The sequence below is a fragment of the Homo sapiens genome, chromosome X (genome assembly GCF_000001405.40).
Source record: "Homo sapiens chromosome X, GRCh38.p14 Primary Assembly".
NCBI lineage: Eukaryota > Metazoa > Chordata > Mammalia > Primates > Hominidae > Homo > Homo sapiens.
This window is the reverse complement of record NC_000023.11, coordinates 152,414,271-152,434,847: the sequence shown is the minus strand read 5'-3', so window position 1 is coordinate 152,434,847 and position 20,577 is coordinate 152,414,271. Positions and strand designations below refer to the sequence as shown.

Sequence of the window (20,577 nt, the reverse complement as noted above, 5' to 3'; positions counted from 1 at the left end):
ATCATGAATGTATGCTGATGATCTTGAATTTTTTAAAATGCTTTTTATGTATCTATTGAAATGATCTTTCTAAGTCTATTGCTATGGTGAATTACAGTGATTGACTTTTAAGTGTTGAACCATTCTACCATTTCCCATAGAACCATTCTATTTGGTCATGATGTATTATTCTTGTTATATATATCTCGGCTTATTTTTATTTACAGTTTTTTTTGTGTCTGCATTCATTAGATATATTGGTCTTTAATTTTCTTTTCTTATAATGCATTTATTTGGTTTTGGAAAAGAGTCACTCTAGTCTCATAAAATGAGGTGGGAAGTGTTTTTTCCGTCTTTTGTGAAACAGCTTGTGTAGAATTAGTATTCTTTCTTCCTTAAGTACTTGGTGTATTAGTCAGAGGGGGAGTTTATTAAGTATTAACTTCCATGATTACAAGGTCCCACAATAGGCTGTCTGCAAGCTTGAGGAACAAGGAGAGTCAGTCCGAGTCTCAAAACTGAAGAACTTGGAGTCCTATGTTTGAGGGCAGGAAGCATCCAGCATGGGAGAAAGATGTAGGCTGCGAGGCTAGGCTAGTCTCGCTTCTTAATGTTTTTCTGCCTGCTTTACATTCGTTGGCAGCTGATTAGATTGTGCCCACTAGATTAAAGGTGGGTCTGACTTCCCCAGCCCGCTGACTCAAATGTTAATCTCCTTTGGCAACACCCTCACAGATACACCCAGGATCAATACTTTGCATCCTTCAATACAATCAAGTTGACACTCAGTATTGACCATCACACTTGGTGTAATTCACCAGTTGAGCCAAGGTTTTTAACTGTGAATTTATACATTTAATATATTTAATAGATAAAAAGCTATAGATTATCTATTTCTTCTCAAGTGAGAGCTGATATTATGTCTTGCAAATATTCTGCCTGTTTCATCTACATTATTAAATTCATTTCCATAAATTTGTTATATTTTCTTATTATCCTTTTAATTTTTGTAAGATCTGTAGTGACCCACTTGTCTTCATTTCTAATAAATGTTAATTTTTGTTTTCTTTTTTTTTCTCATTATCTGTGTAAAAGTTTACTACTTTTATTGATCTTTTCAAAGAACCAGCTCTTAGTTTCATTGATTTTTTTTTTTTTTTTTGGTCTTCCTTCATTCTATTTCATTGAATTCTGCTCTTATTTTTATTATTTCCTTCCTTTTGTTTGCTTTGAGTTTAATTTGCTCTTCATTTTCATGTGTCTTAAAGTGGAATTTTAAACCATTGAGTTTTTCTTATCTAATATAAGATTTAATGCTGTAACTACCCCTATCTGCACTTTTTAAGCTACATTACATAGTTTTTGATAATCATATTTTTGTTTTGTGGCTGTTTTTTCTATTATATTTTCTAATTGATATCTGTAAGTTGGTCTTGCATCTAGTATTCTTGAAAATTCTTATTCATTCTTATAATTTGTTGATTCTTTTGAATTTTTTTCATTTCTCCTACAAATGAAAACGATTTTGCCCTCCTTTTAAGATCCTTATGTTAAGGTATTATTTCTTTTCTTGTTATTTTGGCTAAGATACACAATAAAACATTGGTTACTGATAGGCATGGGGCAGTCTTTGTCTTGTTTCTGACTTGAGTGAGATTGTTTCTAATGTGTCTCCATTGTGTATGGTATTTCCTCTAGGTTTTTTGGTAGATATTATTCATCAAATAAAATAAGTTTCATTGTATTTCTAATTTGCTAAGATTTCTACCATGAATGAGAGGAAAATTTCATTGCATGATTTTTTTCTTCATCTGTTGAGATGCTCCTATACTTCTTTTTTTTATAATATGTTAATCTATTTTAAAAAATTACTAGTGGTAATTCAACTCCTTTTCTCTCCTTCATCTTTTTTGGAACTGTGAATTGCACTGATAGGTTATTCAATATTAAGCTCTCCTTTCATTTCAGAGAAAAATCTGCTTGATTACAGATCATATGTGGCTAGATTTATTTGTTTTCCCTTTAAAAAACTGTATCTAGGTTCTTAGGTTGATATTACCAATACTGTTCAATTTTGATAAGAATATTGCATTAAGCTAAAAGGTAGTTTTTATAGCTTTCATCTTTTTCCAGTTTCTGGAACTGTTTGCAGAAGATAAGAATTAATTATTTTTTATTAGTTTAATAAAACTGATTTTAGATCCTGGTGTGATCCCATTCTTTTTTTATTGTATGCAGAGTGTTAGGAGGGAGATTTGATGTTTAGCCTCCTGGTTCAATTTCTGTTCTAATCCATTTAGTTTTGTTTTTTGTTTGCTATTTGCTATTTGTTTTCCTAGGGAATTGTCAATTTCTTCAGTTTTTGAACGTAATGGCTAAAGTTGTTCATAATATTCTTTTATGATTTTGAACAAGTTTTGTTTTTTGTTGAAAGCATATGATTTTTTTTTAAAGTTTGCTTTTTGTTAAAAGTATATGAGGTCTTAATTTAAAATCAAATATTTCTCCAAGATTTGTTAAAAACAACAGCAGATCCCTGCCCAGCTTCCTAGAAGCAACCGTGTTCCACCATTTCAGATTATTCTTTTGGTATTTATACCGTATTTCTAAATAACATGCATATACTGATCCATCTTAATTTAAAATGTTTATGCAAATTTATTAATTTCCTACTCTGGAAGATAAGTGTTCAGATTCTTTGAAATCTGCCCTACTTGTACAACATATATAAGTTTCTTCTCCCATCCCCATACTCTTTTAATTTCAGTATAACTTCGATTTAATTTTTTGTTTATGTTATTATGACCATATCAGTGCCACTTACAGCTGAGCCAGATAACATGTTGTATTAGTTTACCATTGCTGCTGTAACAAATTACCACAAACTTAGTGACTGAAAACAACACAGTTTTAGTTTTTAAATAGTTTTGCAGGTTTTCCAGGGCTAAAATCAAGACATTGGCAGGGCTGTGTTCCTTTTTGGAAGCTCTGAGGAGAACTTGTTTTCTTGACTTTTCCGGCTTCTAGAGACTTCCTGCATTCCTTTGCTCCTGGTCCCTTCCCCCATCTTCAAAGTCAGCAATGACCAGGCAAGTCGTTTTCACATCGTATCACTCTGACACTGACTTTTCTGCCTCCCACTTCTGACTCTTCTCCCTCCCACTTCCACTTTTAAGGACCCTTGTGATTACATTGTGTTTACTCAGATAATCCAAATAATCTATTATAAGGTTAACTAATTAGCATCCTTCATTCCATCTGCTATTTAATCACTTTTTGTCCAGTAGCATAACATGCTTACAGGTTCTGGGGATTAGGACATTCACATCTTTGGAAGGCCATTATTCTGCCTACCATATATAAGAGCATTACTTTTCATTTTCTGTGCAAAGTTTAGTTTTCACTGGAATAATTGTCTTTTTAAAATGTGCTTATCATTTATGTACTACTTATCACTACTTCAAGCTCAAACTCTCTTCCAGTGTTGACATGTTTTCTCAGTAAATGCAGACATAAAAGATATTTTATTAGTTTTATCTTCTTATTGAAATTGTTTCTTTACTCTTTTCCCCTATTAAAATTTGGACTGGCTTCTCTCTCTGCTTTGTTCATAGATATCATCCTGGAATCTCCATCACTATCCTTAGATTTCCTTCCTGTTTCTCTTGAGTTGAAAACATTGCTCCACTACCTTCTAGCTTCCAGAGTATCTGCTAGGAAATCTGAAATTATTCTTGAACATCTGTGCTCAATTTCGTCTTTCTTTCTCTTGAAACATGTAGGATATTCTTTTCATCTGTTGTGTTCTAACACTGTTGTAGGTTCTTGTGGATCTATTTTCATCCATTGTGCTGATATTCAGTTGACTTTCAAAAAAAGCCTATGGGATTTTTTTTTGAATTATTTCATTGCTATTCTTTCTTTCCCTCTCATTTACTCATTCTCACACTAGCTCGTTGTCCCTATCTGTATCTCTTTCCCTTTCCCTCCTACTATTTTAATATTGGCCCTACTAGGCTGATTTTATTATTTTCTTACATTTTCTATTGTCCATCTCATTGTCTAAATGCTGTATATTTTGGAAGATATCTTCAACTTTATCTCCCCACACTTCTATAGAGTTTTGCATTTCCCGTATTATGATTTTACACTGTAATGATTTAAAAATATATATCCTTTGAATTTCCTTTTTTTATGGCAACTTGTCCTTTTTTCATAGATGCAATACTGTGATCAGTCCCTAGTTCAGAACCACTTTTTATGTTGTCAGTTTGGGGCTTTTATTCCTTGAAGATATCAAAGGTCAAGTTTTTGAGGCAGTGCTTGGCGTGATGCAAGTCTTAGTTGCATAACTATCTCTACTGCCTACCTGGGCAACACCCCAGTTGCCAGTCTCAGCTTCCTGGGCTGGTCATAGCATTTTTAGAGTTATTCTGCCTAGGAGTTCCCTGCCTCATCGTCTGGTTTCCTGCAGTGATCTAGCTTTGCTACCCTACCATATATTCAATATTATTGGTTTATGTTACCCCACAGTACTTGAACTTCTGGCTGCCTCTTCCTGTTTCCCAGTGGGTAAGTGGTTTTATTCTCTCCAACCCCATCCCCAGCCTATTGCTGAGTTCATTTTTCTGTTTCAGCTGCATGGACATATTTTATTTTTTCTTTAACAGTTGTGGTTGTGTTTTTATTTTTTAATGTATGTTTTATGATTTAGTTGTCATCACTATATTCTATGTTTGAAGCTGAGAGAGGGGGATTTTTTTCCTGTGTGAACTCAAATTACTAGCTTGACATGATAATCCTTCAGGATTTTTAGATGGATAATAAATTCTCCTTCAAATAATGGCTACTCAACATTTGGGAACTTAGTTATGAAGAATTCTCTATGATTAGTTTTCTATACTTAATCTGTAATCATAGATTGCAACATTCACATATCTGAGTATCAGTCTATGTTGTGAAGCAACAGAGATATGGATCCACTCAGGTTAGGTTAAGCAGACAGGTGTTTTTGACTCTGGGATCAGGAACATTGGACTTGCCTAAACCTAGGGCCCCCATTGGTATCAAAGGAAGTTTTGTAGGTCAGGTGAGTGGCAATGGTTACCTCAGGAGGAGAGTCTTATTGTGACAGACAGGAAGAAGAGAAGACAGGAGTGTGAAGAAGTTGTGGTTGCCAGATTGATGTTTGAACTTTAAATGGAAATAGGAAAATTAGATGACAAAACAACTATTTTTAGGTTGAAGACAATGTTTCTGATTGTTTCAGGAGGGGTGAATGGAGCCAATGGAGGTTTTGCCATGGTTTGAGGTCATCTCTAAGGTGGGAAGGCGTGATTTGGCTAGATCTTAAAGGACCTTGTAGGTCAAATTCAGGAGTTTAGTCTTTCCCTCAAGAGCAGTAGGGAGCCTTTGAATAGTTTTAAGCAAGGGAGTAAAGCAATCTGATTCGCATTTTTATGGCCCCCTCTGGTTGCTGTGTGAAGAATAGGTTAATGCTGCAGAAGGGCGGCTGAAGTGAATGTGAGGCCAGTAATGCTGCTTTGGCTAAAATGGTAATCTGGAGAAAGAGAGGGAGGGAGGGAGGGAGAGAGAGACCATGGGTTTGAGAGGTATATTGGAGGTAGATTAATAGAAGTAGTGGAAGGAATATTTAGCAAACACTAGGAAGTCTGGCTGAACTTGTACTTTTCCCTGCATTTCCTTCTTTAAATTTATTTCCTACCAGTTTTCCTGACCTGTCTCACTCACCTATGGGGACTCAGATATCGTTCTTACCTCTCTTTTAATTCAATTCTTTCATATTTAATCTCCAATCTTCTGCTTTATTCCAGTGACACAAGGGCTTGGCTGTGTTCTTGTGCTGGGATCCCATAATCAGTCACTCCATTTTCTTTCTTTGCTTTCCACATTGGTGACCCATTAAGTGCATTCTTCATTTTCAGTGGTCTATTGTTTTTCTTCAATTTCTGGCTTGCTTTCAATCCATCTTTCTCAGTTTTCAGCTGGGACTAACTTGAGAAAAAACCTCTCTTGCTCTTGAGTAGTGGGTGTATGCTTGCCAAATGTTTGCAAAAAAAGTATCTCATTGTACAAGTGGCATTCCAGCTGCATTAACACCCAAGCAGAAATAAGTAAATACTCAATTTTAGAACTCACTGTCATCTTTACTTGTGGAGTGATTGCCTCCTGCTTTCTGAGTGCCTGTTTAGGAATCTATAAATGACACAGTTTCCACAAGCATTTGGGGATCCTGGGCAGTATCTATGCTACAACAATGCTCCTGGTTATATGCTCAGTGGGGGCTGGAGGCTGAAATTGGTATATATTAATGCAACCTTCCTCTGTTTTTGTGTCTAGTCTGCAGATTCTCCACTTTTAGATAAAGGCAGGTTGCCTGAACTATGCACATTGCACATTCCTGTTTATAGCTCCTGTACCCTGGGGACAAACTACAAATCTGCAGTTACTCTTTAGCGTACAGCTTCATCTGTCTGACTGCAGCCCCAGGGACTACTATTGAGAGTAGCTCTTTGGATGAGAGGAGGGACGCCACCGCATAGCAGCCAGGGCTCTGAATCACTGTCTGCAGGGTGCATGTTTTGGAATCTGGGTGCTGAGTTAGAAGGGACTATGAGTCAGTGCACTGTTAGGACGGGGCCAGTTGTATATTGGGCCAGCAGCCTGCGGAGATTATACAAATGAGACAGGGTGTCTCTCCTTCCTTGGTGATTTACTTCTTAAATTATTGTATCTAATTGGTAGGTCTGTGAATCTCTAAGTGGCGTCATTGCTTTGCCAAGTACATTGCAGGGGCAAGTACAAGAATACTTTTAGCTATTACCTGTATTCTCATAAAAAGATGTTTAGGGTAATATAAGCAATATATATGGATGGGTGACAGCTCTCCAGATGTTTTGGTGTGCTGAAGCGCCAGCCAGGATTTGGCTGTAGATGTTGTGGCCAGAGCTGACAAATTCAGTGTTTGCTTATTAGATCTCTTGTGTTATTGATCTCTGCAGAACTCAGATAAATTCAAATTCCACTTCATGAACCTCTTCCTTGGGCATTCGTTGTTTTCTTGGTGAGAAACAGAAAGTTTTAGCTTTCATTTTAGCATCTATTTATTGAGTATATGAAATATATCAGCTGACTGTGCTAGAAGTTAAGGATATAATGGTGACTCAGATAGACCTGGCCCCTGCTTTTTTGGAGTTCGCAATCTAAAAGGGAAGGCATACTTTGAAAAAGTAATTTTCCGGTGAGCCGAATGCTGTGGAAAAGTAGCAGAAAGTGTTATAAAGAAATTAAAAAGCAGACCTAGGTTAGTGGGGAACATGACAGGTAAATTTTCTTTAATGAAGTAATGTTCAAGCTTAGAATGTAAAGATCTATAGCTGTTTGCCATTTCAGTAGTGATAGGGAGAGAGATGGGTAAGAATATTCCAGGGAGAGGGAAAAGGTTGCATGAAGGCCCTGATAATGGCAAAATTCATGCTGCATTCTAGGAAGTAAGAGAAGGTCAGTATGGCTGGAGTGTACAGAATGAGATGTGAAAATAGAGATACAGAGTACAATGCAGTGTTTGGGCCTTATTCCAAGGTCATAGAGGAGTCATTAAAGGACTTTAAACAGGGAATGACATAGTCAGATTTGCAGGTTTCAAAGCTGATTCTGGCAGCAGGCAATGGATTTATTGTCAAAGAAGTCAAAAGTAGCTATAGAGGGAGAATTAGGTGTGAGAGATAATAATGATGACTTCATCTATGGTGGTGCCAAAGGAGATGGAGAACAGTAATGAGGAGGCAGCATAACATACCTGCCGTATTGGGTTATTGTGAGGGTTAAATAACTTAATAAATATAAAGTGCTTAGAACAGTGCCTAACACAGATCATGTTTCAACAATTTTAAGAAGCCCAGTCTCTTCCCATATTTTAATATTTCCCAAATAAGTATGACTCTTAGCTATCAATGACATATCATTGTTTATTTGGCAGCACATTTAATGTGCTAGTGGCATAAAAAATATTGTTGTATCTGAAAATTTGTGGCAACTTAGATGAAATATGATAGTTAAGTGTTAGAGATATATTTGCTCTTATCATTTTTCTATTATTATTATTCTGCCAAAATCTAGTGGGAGATAAACTCAGACACATAGAAACAACTAATGCTAAACCACTTCGAATAAGGAATGCAACGAAGAAAGTACGGAGAAAGGAAGTGACAGAGAAAGTACAGCGGAGGTATACCTACCTGTTTGGAGAAACTGATTTTCATCAAGGGAATTCTTAGAAGTGAGATAGAATCTCACCATGCCCACCACAGGGTTGGATCTAGAGTAGAATTGAGTATGAAGTGTTGACTGTTAGAGACTTGCAACTAACTCTTGCAAGTTAATCAATTCACCTGTACTTGTGAATACATAGCAAACTAAGCAGTATGATTGTAAGAGTGCTTCTTATGAAGACTGGATATCTCTTAATCCAGAAAGAAGATTAACCCTATCTATCACTTGTGCAGCTTCCTTTACATACTAAACATGATTCTAGTTTGTTTTACAAGAATATAATCCTACCCACCCAGTGAGGTAGGTGATGGTATCCACTATTCGCATATGAGGAAGTCCAAGGTCATATGCAGTTATTCTGATCTGGGATTTGAACTTGGTTTCTGTGTGACTCAAAAGTGTTTCCTTTACTCTTAGCTGTGTCTTAAAATGCCAGATTCTGAGTTAAGGGAGAGAATCTGACCTTTCTTGGATGGCATTAAATAATACTAGCTCCTCATTTCCACAATTATAGTTTAGTAGGGGAAGACAGACATTATAATTTTAATTACATAAATAAATAATTGGGAATTATAAGAAGTCATAGGAAGAAAACACACAAAGTTCTGTGTTCGTGGAAAGCAAAGGAGATGGGATTTCTAAAAAGATACTATTTAACCTGGACCTACAGGATGAAAAGGAGCCTGCCATGCAAATTGAGATGAGGAAGAGTTTTCTGGGCCTACACATGGGCTCTGAGATAAGAAGAAACATATTTTATTCAAGAAGTACATCAGGGAAAGGGGACAGAGTAGGAATAGATAAGCAGATAAGGACAGCTCTCCTCCAGGTGCGAGAGTACAAGCAGAAACCAGGACAGAAGTTGAAAGTCACCACTTTAGCCAACTGATCAAACATCACATCACAACATAAAAAACAATCATGTGTCTCCTGATGTGATGCACTAAGGGCACAATATTACTTAGATAGTGTTCTTTCCCCGAACCCATAACCCTAGTTTAATCATGAGAAAACGTCAGGCAAACTCAGATTGAGGGACATTCTGATCTTTTCTCTTTAAAAATTTCATTTTCATGAAAGACAAAGAAAAATTGGGGAAATGTTCCAGACTAAAGGAGACTAAAGAGATATGATAACCAAAGGTGTGATCCTACATTGGATCACACATTTACCTAGACGGGTAAAAATCACTATAGAGAGCGTTATTGGGACAATTGTTGAAACGTACATATGGATTCTAGATTAGATGACAGTGTTGTATCAATGATAAGTTTATTGATTTTGGTAATTGTATATAAGTGGGTTATATACAAGTGTGATATTGTTCTTTAGAAAAATACAAGCCAGGCATGGTGGCTTACACCTGTAATCCCAGCACTTTGGCAGGCTGAGGTAGGTAATTGCTTGAGTCCAGGAGTTTGATACCAACCTAGGCAACGTAACAAGATTCTGTCTCTACAAAAAAAAAAACCTTAGCTGAGCATGATGGAGCATATTGTAGCCTCAGCTACTCAGGAGGCAGAGGTGGGAGAGTTGCTTGAGCCTGGGCCTGGGAGGTCAAGGCTGCAATGAGCCATGATTGTGCCACTTCATTCCAGCCCGGGTGGCAGAATGACACCCTGTAAAAAAAAAAAAAAAAAAAAAAAAAGAAAAGAAAAAGAAAATATACAATGAAGTATTTGCAAGTATACAGATACAATGTGACAAATGTTAAGAAATTGTGCATATGGACAAAGAGTATGTTCTATTTCTGGAATTCGTTTGGAAGTTTGAAATTATTGCCAAACAAAAAGTAAAAACAAAGAAAACATTTAAATAAAACCACTGTGGGCACACCAAAAGCATATTATAGTAGTGAAGATGAATGATAAAAACAGCTTATACCAGGGTAGCTGGCGATGGTGATGGCAGCTACTTTGGGGTGGGGTAGGGGAAAATTGGCCTGACATCATTTAGATGTACAATGTTAAGTTTTGCCTATGCTAATAATTTTCATTATTTTTAAGATTACTCTTGAAGCCATTGAAGCATTTCAAGTGGTGGGGGAGCTGCTGACAAATCAGGTTATGAAATGCTAAACTTGGCTACTGTGTAGGATGGATTAGAAGGAGACAACAGTAGATTCCAGAAAACCAGTTAGCACAGTGTCATATACAAAGTAGATGCTTAGTTATTGTGTGATTGAGGCTTTAGCAGTGGCCAAGAGTGAGTTTGTAATGGCTTGAACTAGTGTTGTGGTGAACAATGTGAAGAGAAATAAATGTTTTTGAGGGGGTGTTAGGGGGTAAAATTGATAAAAAGTTAGACGAAATAGACATGGGGGCTGTTGGAAAGGGAGATGTGAAAGATGACTTGTCGGTTTCTGATTCTGCAGTTGGGTAGATGATGGTACTGTTCACTGAGATAGGGAATGATGGAAGATTATTTGATTTTGGGAGAATGCTGGGATCTAGAGAAAATTAATTCAATCACACAGTTCAAAAATAAAATGAAAAATAAAGATACACAATACAAAAATTGTTCTTATTACAATCCCTATGAATCATGTTCTTTTCCCACAACCCTAAAATAGCTAACTTTCAAATTAATATATTAGTTATCTTCCCACAGTTTTAAAATATTGTTTTAGTGTGTATTTTTATGATTGCTATTGAGGTTGAATATATTTTTACATTTGTTATCCATTTGTAATATCCAAATGTAATATTACATTTGTTATCCATTTGTATATTCCATTTGTAATCCAATTGTAATACCAATATCCTTGGTAATTATTTGTCCACATCCTTTCTTCAATTTTGTATTTTCTTTGATGTTTTAATTACTGATTCATATTAGCTCCTCATATATCAGGAATGTTGATATTTTCTTCTAAACCCTAGTCTGTTGCTTAGCTCAAACATTATTGATTTTTTTGTTACAGAGAAGTGTAAAATTAAAGTGTACAGAAATATCTTCATCTTTCCCAAGTTCATAAAAATATGCTCCTAAATATTTTAATATATTCAGTATTTGTTGTTCACATTTAGTAGCATTTTATTCCATTGTGCATAAAAGCCTAACTTTATTTTCTAAAAGGATACATTTGTCCAGTGCAACTTATTGAATACTTCATAATTTCCTCATTGGTCATAAATTGTTCTTTCATCCTACACTAAATTCCTGTATACATATGAATCTATTCCTGGAACCCTTGATTTAATTTCACTTATTCTTTTTCTATTTTTACCTCAGTACCAAACTTTAAATTTGTCAGGTTTGTTAAAATAACTAATTCATGCGCAAGGGTCATAATTAAGTACAAAGATGTCTACAGTGAAAAGTAAATCTCTTTACCATTTGTGCCCAAGTGTCAACAAGTTCCCCTGTGAGGAGGCAACACCTATCACCAGTGTTTTGGTGCATACACATCATGACACACAAATATTCTAGTACTACAATGCTTCATTTCTTTAGTTTTATAGTATTTGTTGTTCATTATTAGATGAAATATCTTCTCATAGCATTTTTCAAAATATAATTACAAGCATTTTCTTATAAACCTTAAGCTTGACAAGTTTTTAATTTATTTTAATTGACAAATGAAAAATGTACATATTTATGGCATACAACATGATGTTTTGAAATATGTATACATTGTGGAATGTCTAAATAGACATATTTATTAACATATGTATTACCATTACCTCACATCCTTTTGGTGAGATTGCTTGAAATCTACTCTTCTAGCGAGTTTCAAATATACAATAGATTGTCATGGACTATTGTCACCATGTTGTATAATAGATCTCTTAAGTTCATTCCTACCGTTGAACTGAAATGTTGTATCCTTTGAGCAACATTTCCTCAATCTTTAAGAATATTGTGTTGGGAATTTTATTAGAAGTACATTACATTATAGAAAATCTTGAAACCACTAGTATCTATAAAATATTTCGCTCTCTCCAGTCAGAAACGTGCTATATTTCCATTTACTCGGGTCTTCTTTTCAATAGATGTTTTGTTTAAAGAAAACTTTCTAAATTGAAGTATAGCATATATGGAAAAAATGCAAAATCCTAATTGTACAGCGCAATGAATTTTTGTTAAATGTAACCACTATCAGGGTCAGAAAATAAAAAAAAAATTAACACACCAGAACCATCTCTTTATGTCTTTCTTGGCCATTGTCCATACTCCCCCCACAAAGATAACTAATACCCTGATTTCTTATAGTAGTTTCACTTGTTTTTAAACTTTATATAAGTCGAATAATATTCTTTATACTCCAGTATGTACTTTCTTGTGTATGGCTTGTTTTATTCAACATGATTTTGAGATTCATCCACGTTGTTGCAAAAGCTATAGTTCATTAATTTTTAGTGCTATGTAGTAGTCTCTTCTATAAATATACCACAATTATATATCCCTCCTACTGTTGATGGACATTTAAGTTTTATCTCGTTTGATACTATTATAAGTAATGTTGCAATAAAACATTTGTATACATTTCTTTTGCTGAACACATGTCCACATTTTGTTGTCTGTATAACTAAGATGAGAATTTTGGGGTCATAGGGTATGCATATTTTCAACTTATTAGATACTGCCAAGAAGTTTCCAAAGTTTTTGTTCAGATTTACACATCCACTGGCAGTGTATGAAAGATCTTATGGCTCTCCATCCTGCCCACCAATTACTACTGTTATACATTTAAATTTTAGATATTATAATATGCTTGTTTTGGTATCTTATCATAGTAATTTAGATTTACATTTCCCTGATGACTTTTGAGATTGATCATAATTTCATATGCTATTTGCCATTTGGATGTTCTTAAACATTTTTTGAAAAGTTTATTCAAATAATTTGTTCATTAGTCTATTCAATTGTCACCATTTGCTTTTTACTGATTTATAATTCTTTATATTCTGAATACTAGTCCTCTGTCAAATATATGTATTGCATGTTATCTTTTCCCACCCCATGGGGCTTGCCTTTTCACTCTTATTTGTATTGTCTTTTGATGAACAGATATTCTTAATTTTAATTTAGTCTAGTTGATCAGACTTTTACTTTATGGTTAATACTTTTTAGTTCCATTTAAGAAATACTTGCCTACCTCAGTATCATGAAGATATTATCCTATGTTATCCTCTAGAAGCTTTATTGTTTTACATTATACAAACACACACGTATATATTTAAGGATATATATACAGTAAGTCTTCACTTAATGGCATCAGTAGGTTCTTGGAAACTATGACTTTCATGGAAACAGCATACTATATAACAAAACCAATTTTACCATAAGCTAATTGATATAAACGAGTAAATTTCTATGGCTTACAGTATGTTGTTTCCTTGAAAATTGCAGTTTCCAAGAACCTACTGACAACATTAAGGTGAGGACTTACTGTACCTATATAACGAAAGGTATATATTAATTGTATATATAGGTGCCTTGTGTGTGTGTGTGTGTGTGTGTGTGTGTGTGTGTATAATGTGTAAATATCAGTGTGTTAGTCCATTCTCACTCTGCTATGAAGAAATACCCAAGACTGGGTAATTTATAAAGGAAAGAGGTTTAATTGACTCACAGTTCCGCATTGCTGGGGAGGCCTCAGGAAACTTACAATCATGGTGGAAGGTAAAGGAGAAGCAGGCACCTTTTTCACAGGGCGACAGGATCCACTATCTCCACCTGGTCCCGACCTTGACACGTGAGAATTATGGGGATTATAATTGAGGTGAGATTTGTTTGGGGACACAGAGCCAAACCATATCAATCAATATAATTAATTTATTTGTATGATGTGTGGTAGTATTCAAGAGTTATTCATTTCTATGTGGATATCCAAAAGTTAACCAATTAATTAATCTGGTAGTATAATCCCTCTTTTGTCCTTTTCGTTCTAAATTTTAGAATCGGATTGCCAATTCCCAGACAGTAAAGGACCTCTTGGAATTTGTTTTGCAATTGCACAAAATCTATGGTCAATTTTGGGATAATTATTATTTTTACAAATTGTAGTGTTCTAATTTGGGAACATGATATATCTGTCCATTTATTATGTTTTTATTTTTTAGTGTTATTTGATGCTATTTTAAATGTATCTTTGTAAAAAAAATCACTTTCTAAATTTTTTTGTGGTATTTAAAATATAATCAATTTTAGAATATTGATCTTGTGCTCAGAGTTACTGATGAATCCATTTATTAATGCTACTAATTTATCTGTAGTTTCATTAATTTTTCAAATAATTTAATTTTCATTTCTTGATTTTAAGTTTTTACAAATTTCATATTTTTCCTGCCTTATTGTATTGCCTAAGACCTCTAGTACAATGCTGAACGTAAGCAGAGATCATAGGCATCTTCTATTTCATTCCTGACCTTGGGGGAAATTTCTCATTATTTCACCATTAAGTATGATTTTCACTATAGAGTTTTTAAAATACCCTTTATCAGATTAAGAAGTTTCCATTTTTAGTTTGCAAAGACTTTTTAAAAAATCATTAATGGGTATTGAATTTTATCAGATTTTTTTTCTACATCTATTGAGTTGATCATATATTTTTCTCCTTTATTCTGTTAATATGATGAACTGCATTGACTGATTTTCAAGTGTTAAACCAGCCTTTTATTCTTTATATAAATCCTACTCTTCGTGTTATTTTGCAACACAGGATGGGAACTATGTGTATGCATGTGTGTGTATATGTGTGAGTTTTAAAATTTTTGCACCCACATTTATAAGTGAGATTGGCCGTCAGTTTTCTTTTTTCTGTCAAGTTTGTGTGAGGTTTTGGGATTAAGGTTATGTTAGCTTGAAAAATGAATTGGGATGAAAAACTATTTTTTTTTCTTTACATTCTGGAAGATATTATGTAAGACTGATGCTATTTATTCTTTAAATGTTGAGAGGAATTCACTGGTAATGCCATCTGGGACTCAAGTTTTCTTTGGGGGAAAGTCTTTAGTGATAGATTCAATTTCTTTAAGAGTTATAGGAGTATTGGGATGTTTTTATTACCTTCTTTTGTCAGTTTTAAGTTATGTTTTCAAAGAAATACGTTTTTCTAAATTTTCATGTTTTTTGGCATAAAGTCCATTTTAAAAATATGATACCTCTTTTCTCTTTAGTGTCTATTGGATCTGTAATGATGCCCTCCTTTCCATTCCTAACAGTAGTTGTTTGGTTATTTTCATTTTTTCATTTGTTATTCATCAGGCTTGCTGGTGGCTTTTAATTTTCTTTTTTCTTCTTTTTTTGTGTGTTACATTTATTTTTTATTTTATTTTGTATTATACTTTAAGTTTTAGGGTACATGTGCACAACGTGCAGGTTTGTTACATATGTGTACATGTGCCATGTTGGTGTGCAGAACCCAGTAACTCGTCATTTAACATTAGGTATATCTCCAAATGCTATCCCTCCCCGCACCCCCCACCCCACAACAGACCCCGGTGTGTGATGTTCCCCTTCCTGTGTCCATGTGTTCTCATTGTTCAATTCCCACCTATGAGTGAGAGCATGCGGTGTTTGGTTTTTTGTCCTTGCGGTAGTTTGCTGAGAATGATGGTTTCCAGCTTCATCCATGTGCCTACAGAGGACATGAGCTCATCCTTTTTTATGGCTGCATAGTATTCCATGGTGTATATGTGCCACATTTTCTTAATCCAGTCTATCATTGATGGACATTTGGGTTGGTTCTAAGTCTTTGCTATTGTGAATAGTGCCGCAATAAACATACGTGTGCATGCACCTTTATAGCATCATGATTTATAATCCTTTGGGTATATACCCAGTAATGGGATGGCTGGGTCAAATGGTATTTCTAGCTCTAGATCCCTGAGGAATCAACCAACTTTTGTATTTGCTGGGCCTCTTTATTACAGATTTTTTATTTCATTGATTTTTGATTTTATATTTGTTATTTTGTTCTTTCTACTTTCTTCGGTTTTAACTTGCTTTTATTCTACTATTTTAGATGTATAATTAGATCACAGATTTATATACTTCCGTCTTTTCAAATACATGTATCTAAGCCTATAAATTTCTCTCTGATAATGGCTCTGTTGTATCCCAGAAATTTTGATTTGCTATATTTTCATTTTCAGGTAGTACAAGATGTTTTCTGGTTTAATTTGGATTTCTTCTTTGCACCATGGTTTATTTAGAATTAATTTGCTTAATTTCCAAATTGAGATGATTTTCTATTTGTTATTAATTTTTTCTAACTTAATTAAATTGTGGTCAGAGAATATATTTTGACTCCAATCATTTGAAATTGGTGTGGTCTGCTTCATGGCCCATTCAACAGTAAATTTTGTTTAGGTTAAATATGTATTTCAAAAAATGCAATTCTTGCACTTTTGGGTGTTATGTTTTAAGTATGTCATTTAGGTTAAGTTTGTTAATTATTTTGTTGCAATCATATGTATCTTTACTGGTATCTGATGGCCGGTACTATTAGTTACAGTTATTACATCCTGAAATCCAGTTATGACATATTTAATTCTATAATATCTATTTTTTCATTTTTTTTCTTTTTTTTCTTCTTTTTTTTATTATACATTAAGTTTTAGGGTACATGTGCACATTGTGCAGGTTAGTTACATATGTATACATGTGCCATGCTGGTGCACTGCACCCACTAACTCGTCATCTAGCATTAGGTATATCTCCCAGTGCTATCCCTCCCCCCTCCCCCCACCCCACAACAGTCCCTGGAGTGTGATATTCCCCTTCCTGTGTCCATGTGATCTCATTGTTCAATTCCCACCTATGAGTGAGAATATGCGGTGTTTGGTTTTTTGTTCTTGTGATAGTTTACTGAGAATGATGATTTCCAACTTCATCCATGTCCCTACAAAGGACATGAACTCATCATTTTTTATGGCTGCATAGTATTCCATGGTGTATATGTGCCACATTTTCTTAATCCAGTCTATCATTGTTGGACATTTGGGTTGGTTCCAAGTCTTTGCTATTGTGAATAATGCCGCAATAAACATACGTGTGCATGTGTCTTTATAGCAGCATGATTTATAGTCCTTTGGGTATATACCCAGTAATGGGATGGCTGGGTCAAATGGTATTTCCAGTTCTAGATCCCTGAGGAATCGCCACACTGACTTCCACAGTGGTTGAACTAATTTACAGTCCCACCAACAGTGTAAAAGTGTTCCTATTTCTCCACATCCTCTCCAGCACCAGTTGTTTCCTGACTTTTTAATGATCACCATTCTAACTGGTGTGAGGTGGTATCTCATTGTGGTTTTGATTTGCATTTCTCTGATGGCCAGTGATGTTGAGCATTTTTTCATGTGTTTTTTGGCTGCATAAAATCTTCTTTTGAGAAGTGTCTGTTCATGTCCTTCGCCCACTTTTTGATGGAGTTGTTTGTTGTTTTCTTGTAAATTTGTTTGAGTTCATTGTAGATTCTGGACATTAGCCCTTTGTCAGATGAGTAGGTTGCGAAAATTTTCTCCCATTTTGTAGGTTGCCTGTTCACTCTGATGGTAGTTTCTTTTGCTGTGCAGAAGCTCTTTAGTTTAATTAGATCCCATTTGTCAATTTTGTCTTTTGTTGCCATTGCTTTTGGTGTTTTAGACATGAAGTCCTTGCCCATGCCTATGTCCTGAATGGTAAAGCCTAGGTTTTCTTCTAGGGTTTTTATGGTTTTAGGTCTAACGTTTAAGTCTTTAATCCATCTTGAATTGATTTTTGTATAAGGTGTAAGGAAGGGATCCAGTTTCAGCTTTCTACATATGGCTAGCCAGTTTTCCCAGCACCATTTATTAAACAGGGAATCCTTTCCCCATTTCTTGTTTTTCTCAGGTTTGTCAAAGATCAGATAGTTGTAGATATGTGGTGTTATTTCTGAGGGCTCTGTTCTGTTCCATTGATCTATATCTCTGTTTTGGTACCAGTACCATGCTGTTTTGGTTACTGTGTAGCCTTGTAGTATAGTTTGAAGTCAGGTAGTGTGATGCCTCCAGCTTTGTTCTTTTGGCTTAGGATTGACTTGGCGATGCGGGCTCTTTTTTGGTTCCATATGAACTTTAAAGTAGTTTTTTCCAATTATGTGAAGAAAGGCATTGGTAGCTTGATAGGGATGGCATTGAATCTGTAAATTACCTTGGGCAGTATGGCCATTTTCACGATATTGATTCTTCCTACCCATGAGCATGGAATGTTCTTCCATTTGTTTGTATCCTCTTTTATTTCCTTGAGCAGTGGTTTGTAGTTCTCCTTGAAGAGGTCCTTCACATCCCTTGTAAGTTGGATTCCTAGGTATTTTATTCTCTTTGAAGCAATTGTGAATGGGAGTTCACTCATGATTTGGCTCTCTGTTTGTCTGTTGCTGGTGTATAAGAATGCTTGTGATTTTTGTACATTGATTTTGTATCCTGAGACTTTGCTGAAGTTGCTTATCAGCTTAAGGAGATTTTGGGCTGAGACAATGGGGTTTTCTAGATATACAATCATGTCATCTGCAAACAGGGACAATTTGACTTCCTCTTTTCCTAATTGAATACCCTTTATTTCCTTCTCCTGCCTAAGTATTGTATGAAAATTTCCATTATGTCTATTTTTTTAAAAAATGAATCATCATTATTTAATTGGCCATGCAATTATTACAGTACATAGATTGCATCTGAGACTTTTTCTAGTATTTTCTTTTCCTTTCTGAGTCTTATCTTATTATTGGTAATTGCTGTTTGAATGCTGGGCATTTTAAGTGAAATAGAGAAAGCCCTAGTTAATGTTACCTTTAAAATGTTTTTTATTTTGAAATAATAAACTCATGGGAAGTCGCAAATAATAAACTCATGGGAAGTACATAGAGACCTATAAACTTTTTACTTAGAGTCACCCAATGGGAATTCTGATAATGACGGTAGTACAATGTTAACTATGCCATAGACTTCATTAATATTATTATATTGCAACAATAAAGGAATGGTTTGATGTGTGCTCTTTTTTGTGTGTCTCTATGTCTATAGTTCTATGCAATATAATCCCATGTATAGATTTATGTAATCCCCATCACAATCAAGATAAAGAACTGTTCAATCACCATAAATATAAAACCCCTCATGTTACTCCTTTATAGTAGTATCCGTCCCTGTCTCTTTCCATGAAACCATGAATCTGTTCTCCATCTCTATGGTTGTGTCAGTTTGATAATATTACATAATTGTAATTATATACTGTGTAACTTTTTTAAAATTGGCTTTTAGAAAATTAATAGGGTTTATATTTTAGAGTAGTTTTAGGTTTACAGAAAAATTGAGGAGAAAGTACAGAGTTCCTATATATTCTTTTCTTCCTCTCCCTCTGAGTTTCCCCTATTATTAACATCTTGCATGATGTGGTACAGTTGTTACTATGAATGAGTGAATATTAGATACATTTTTATTAACTAAAGTATATAGTTTGCATTAGAGTTCACTCTGTGTTGCACAGTTCTGTGGGTTTTGACAAATGTATAATGCATTGTATCCACCAATACAGAATAGTTTCATTGCCCTAACAATCCCCAGTGGCCCACCTACTTAACTCTCCCTCTTTTCCTCCAAGCCCTTGGCAACCACTAATCTTTTTAGTCTTTATGTAGTATTTTCCAAAATGTCATAATTAGCACTATACAGTCTGTAGCCTTTTCTGATTGGCTTCTTTCACTTAGCAATATACATTTAAGGTTCCTCCATGGTTTTTTTTTTTTTTTTGGTGGTTCGATAGCTCATTTTTTTTAGTGGTGAATAATAATATTGCATTGTTTGTATGTGTCACAGGTCATCTTGGTTGCTTCCAAGTTTTGGCAATTATGAGCAAAGCTGCTATAAACATTTTTGTGTAGGCTTTTGCTTGTAAATAAACTTTCAAATCATTTGGATAAATACCAAGGAGTGTTATTGCTGGATCATATGGTAAAAGTATGTTTAGTTTTGTAAATAACTGCCAGACTGTCTTCCAAACTGGTTGTATCATTTTGCATTACCAGCAGCAATGTACGAGAATTCCTGTTGTTCCACATCCTCATCAGCATTTGGTATTGTCAATGTTTTGGAATTTAGCCACTGTAATAGATGAAAGTGGTATTTCATTGTTGTTTTAATCTGCGATTCCCTAATGATATGTGATGCCGAGAATCTTATCGTATGCTTGTTTATCATATGTATATTTTCTTTGGTGAAAGAATGACACTTTGACTAAGCATGATGATCTTGAGTTCCATTCAGGTTACTTCAATACATGCAGCAGTACTTGATACCAGTAATTGGTACCTTTTCATTACTAAGTAGTATTCTGTAG

The 20,577-nt window shown here is 34.7% G+C and overlaps 1 protein-coding gene across 2 annotated transcripts in view, besides 1 other annotated feature; it reads left to right on the top strand.

The window, feature by feature from the left end:
• GABRA3 (gamma-aminobutyric acid type A receptor subunit alpha3) overlaps nucleotides 1-20,577 on the top strand; it is a 285,082-nt gene that overhangs the window by 16,468 nt on the left and 248,037 nt on the right. The gene's annotated exons all lie outside the window — the stretch shown is intronic.
• Nucleotides 2,392-3,591: an enhancer, noted in NCBI's record as "MED14-independent group 3 enhancer chrX:151599729-151600928 (GRCh37/hg19 assembly coordinates)". NCBI's record gives its function as "activates an origin of replication core promoter dependent on BRD2, BRD4, P300/CBP and CDK7 cofactors, and independent of MED14, by STARR-seq in HCT116 cells {active_cell/tissue: HCT116}" and the evidence as "EXISTENCE:reporter gene assay evidence [ECO:0000049][PMID:35650434]".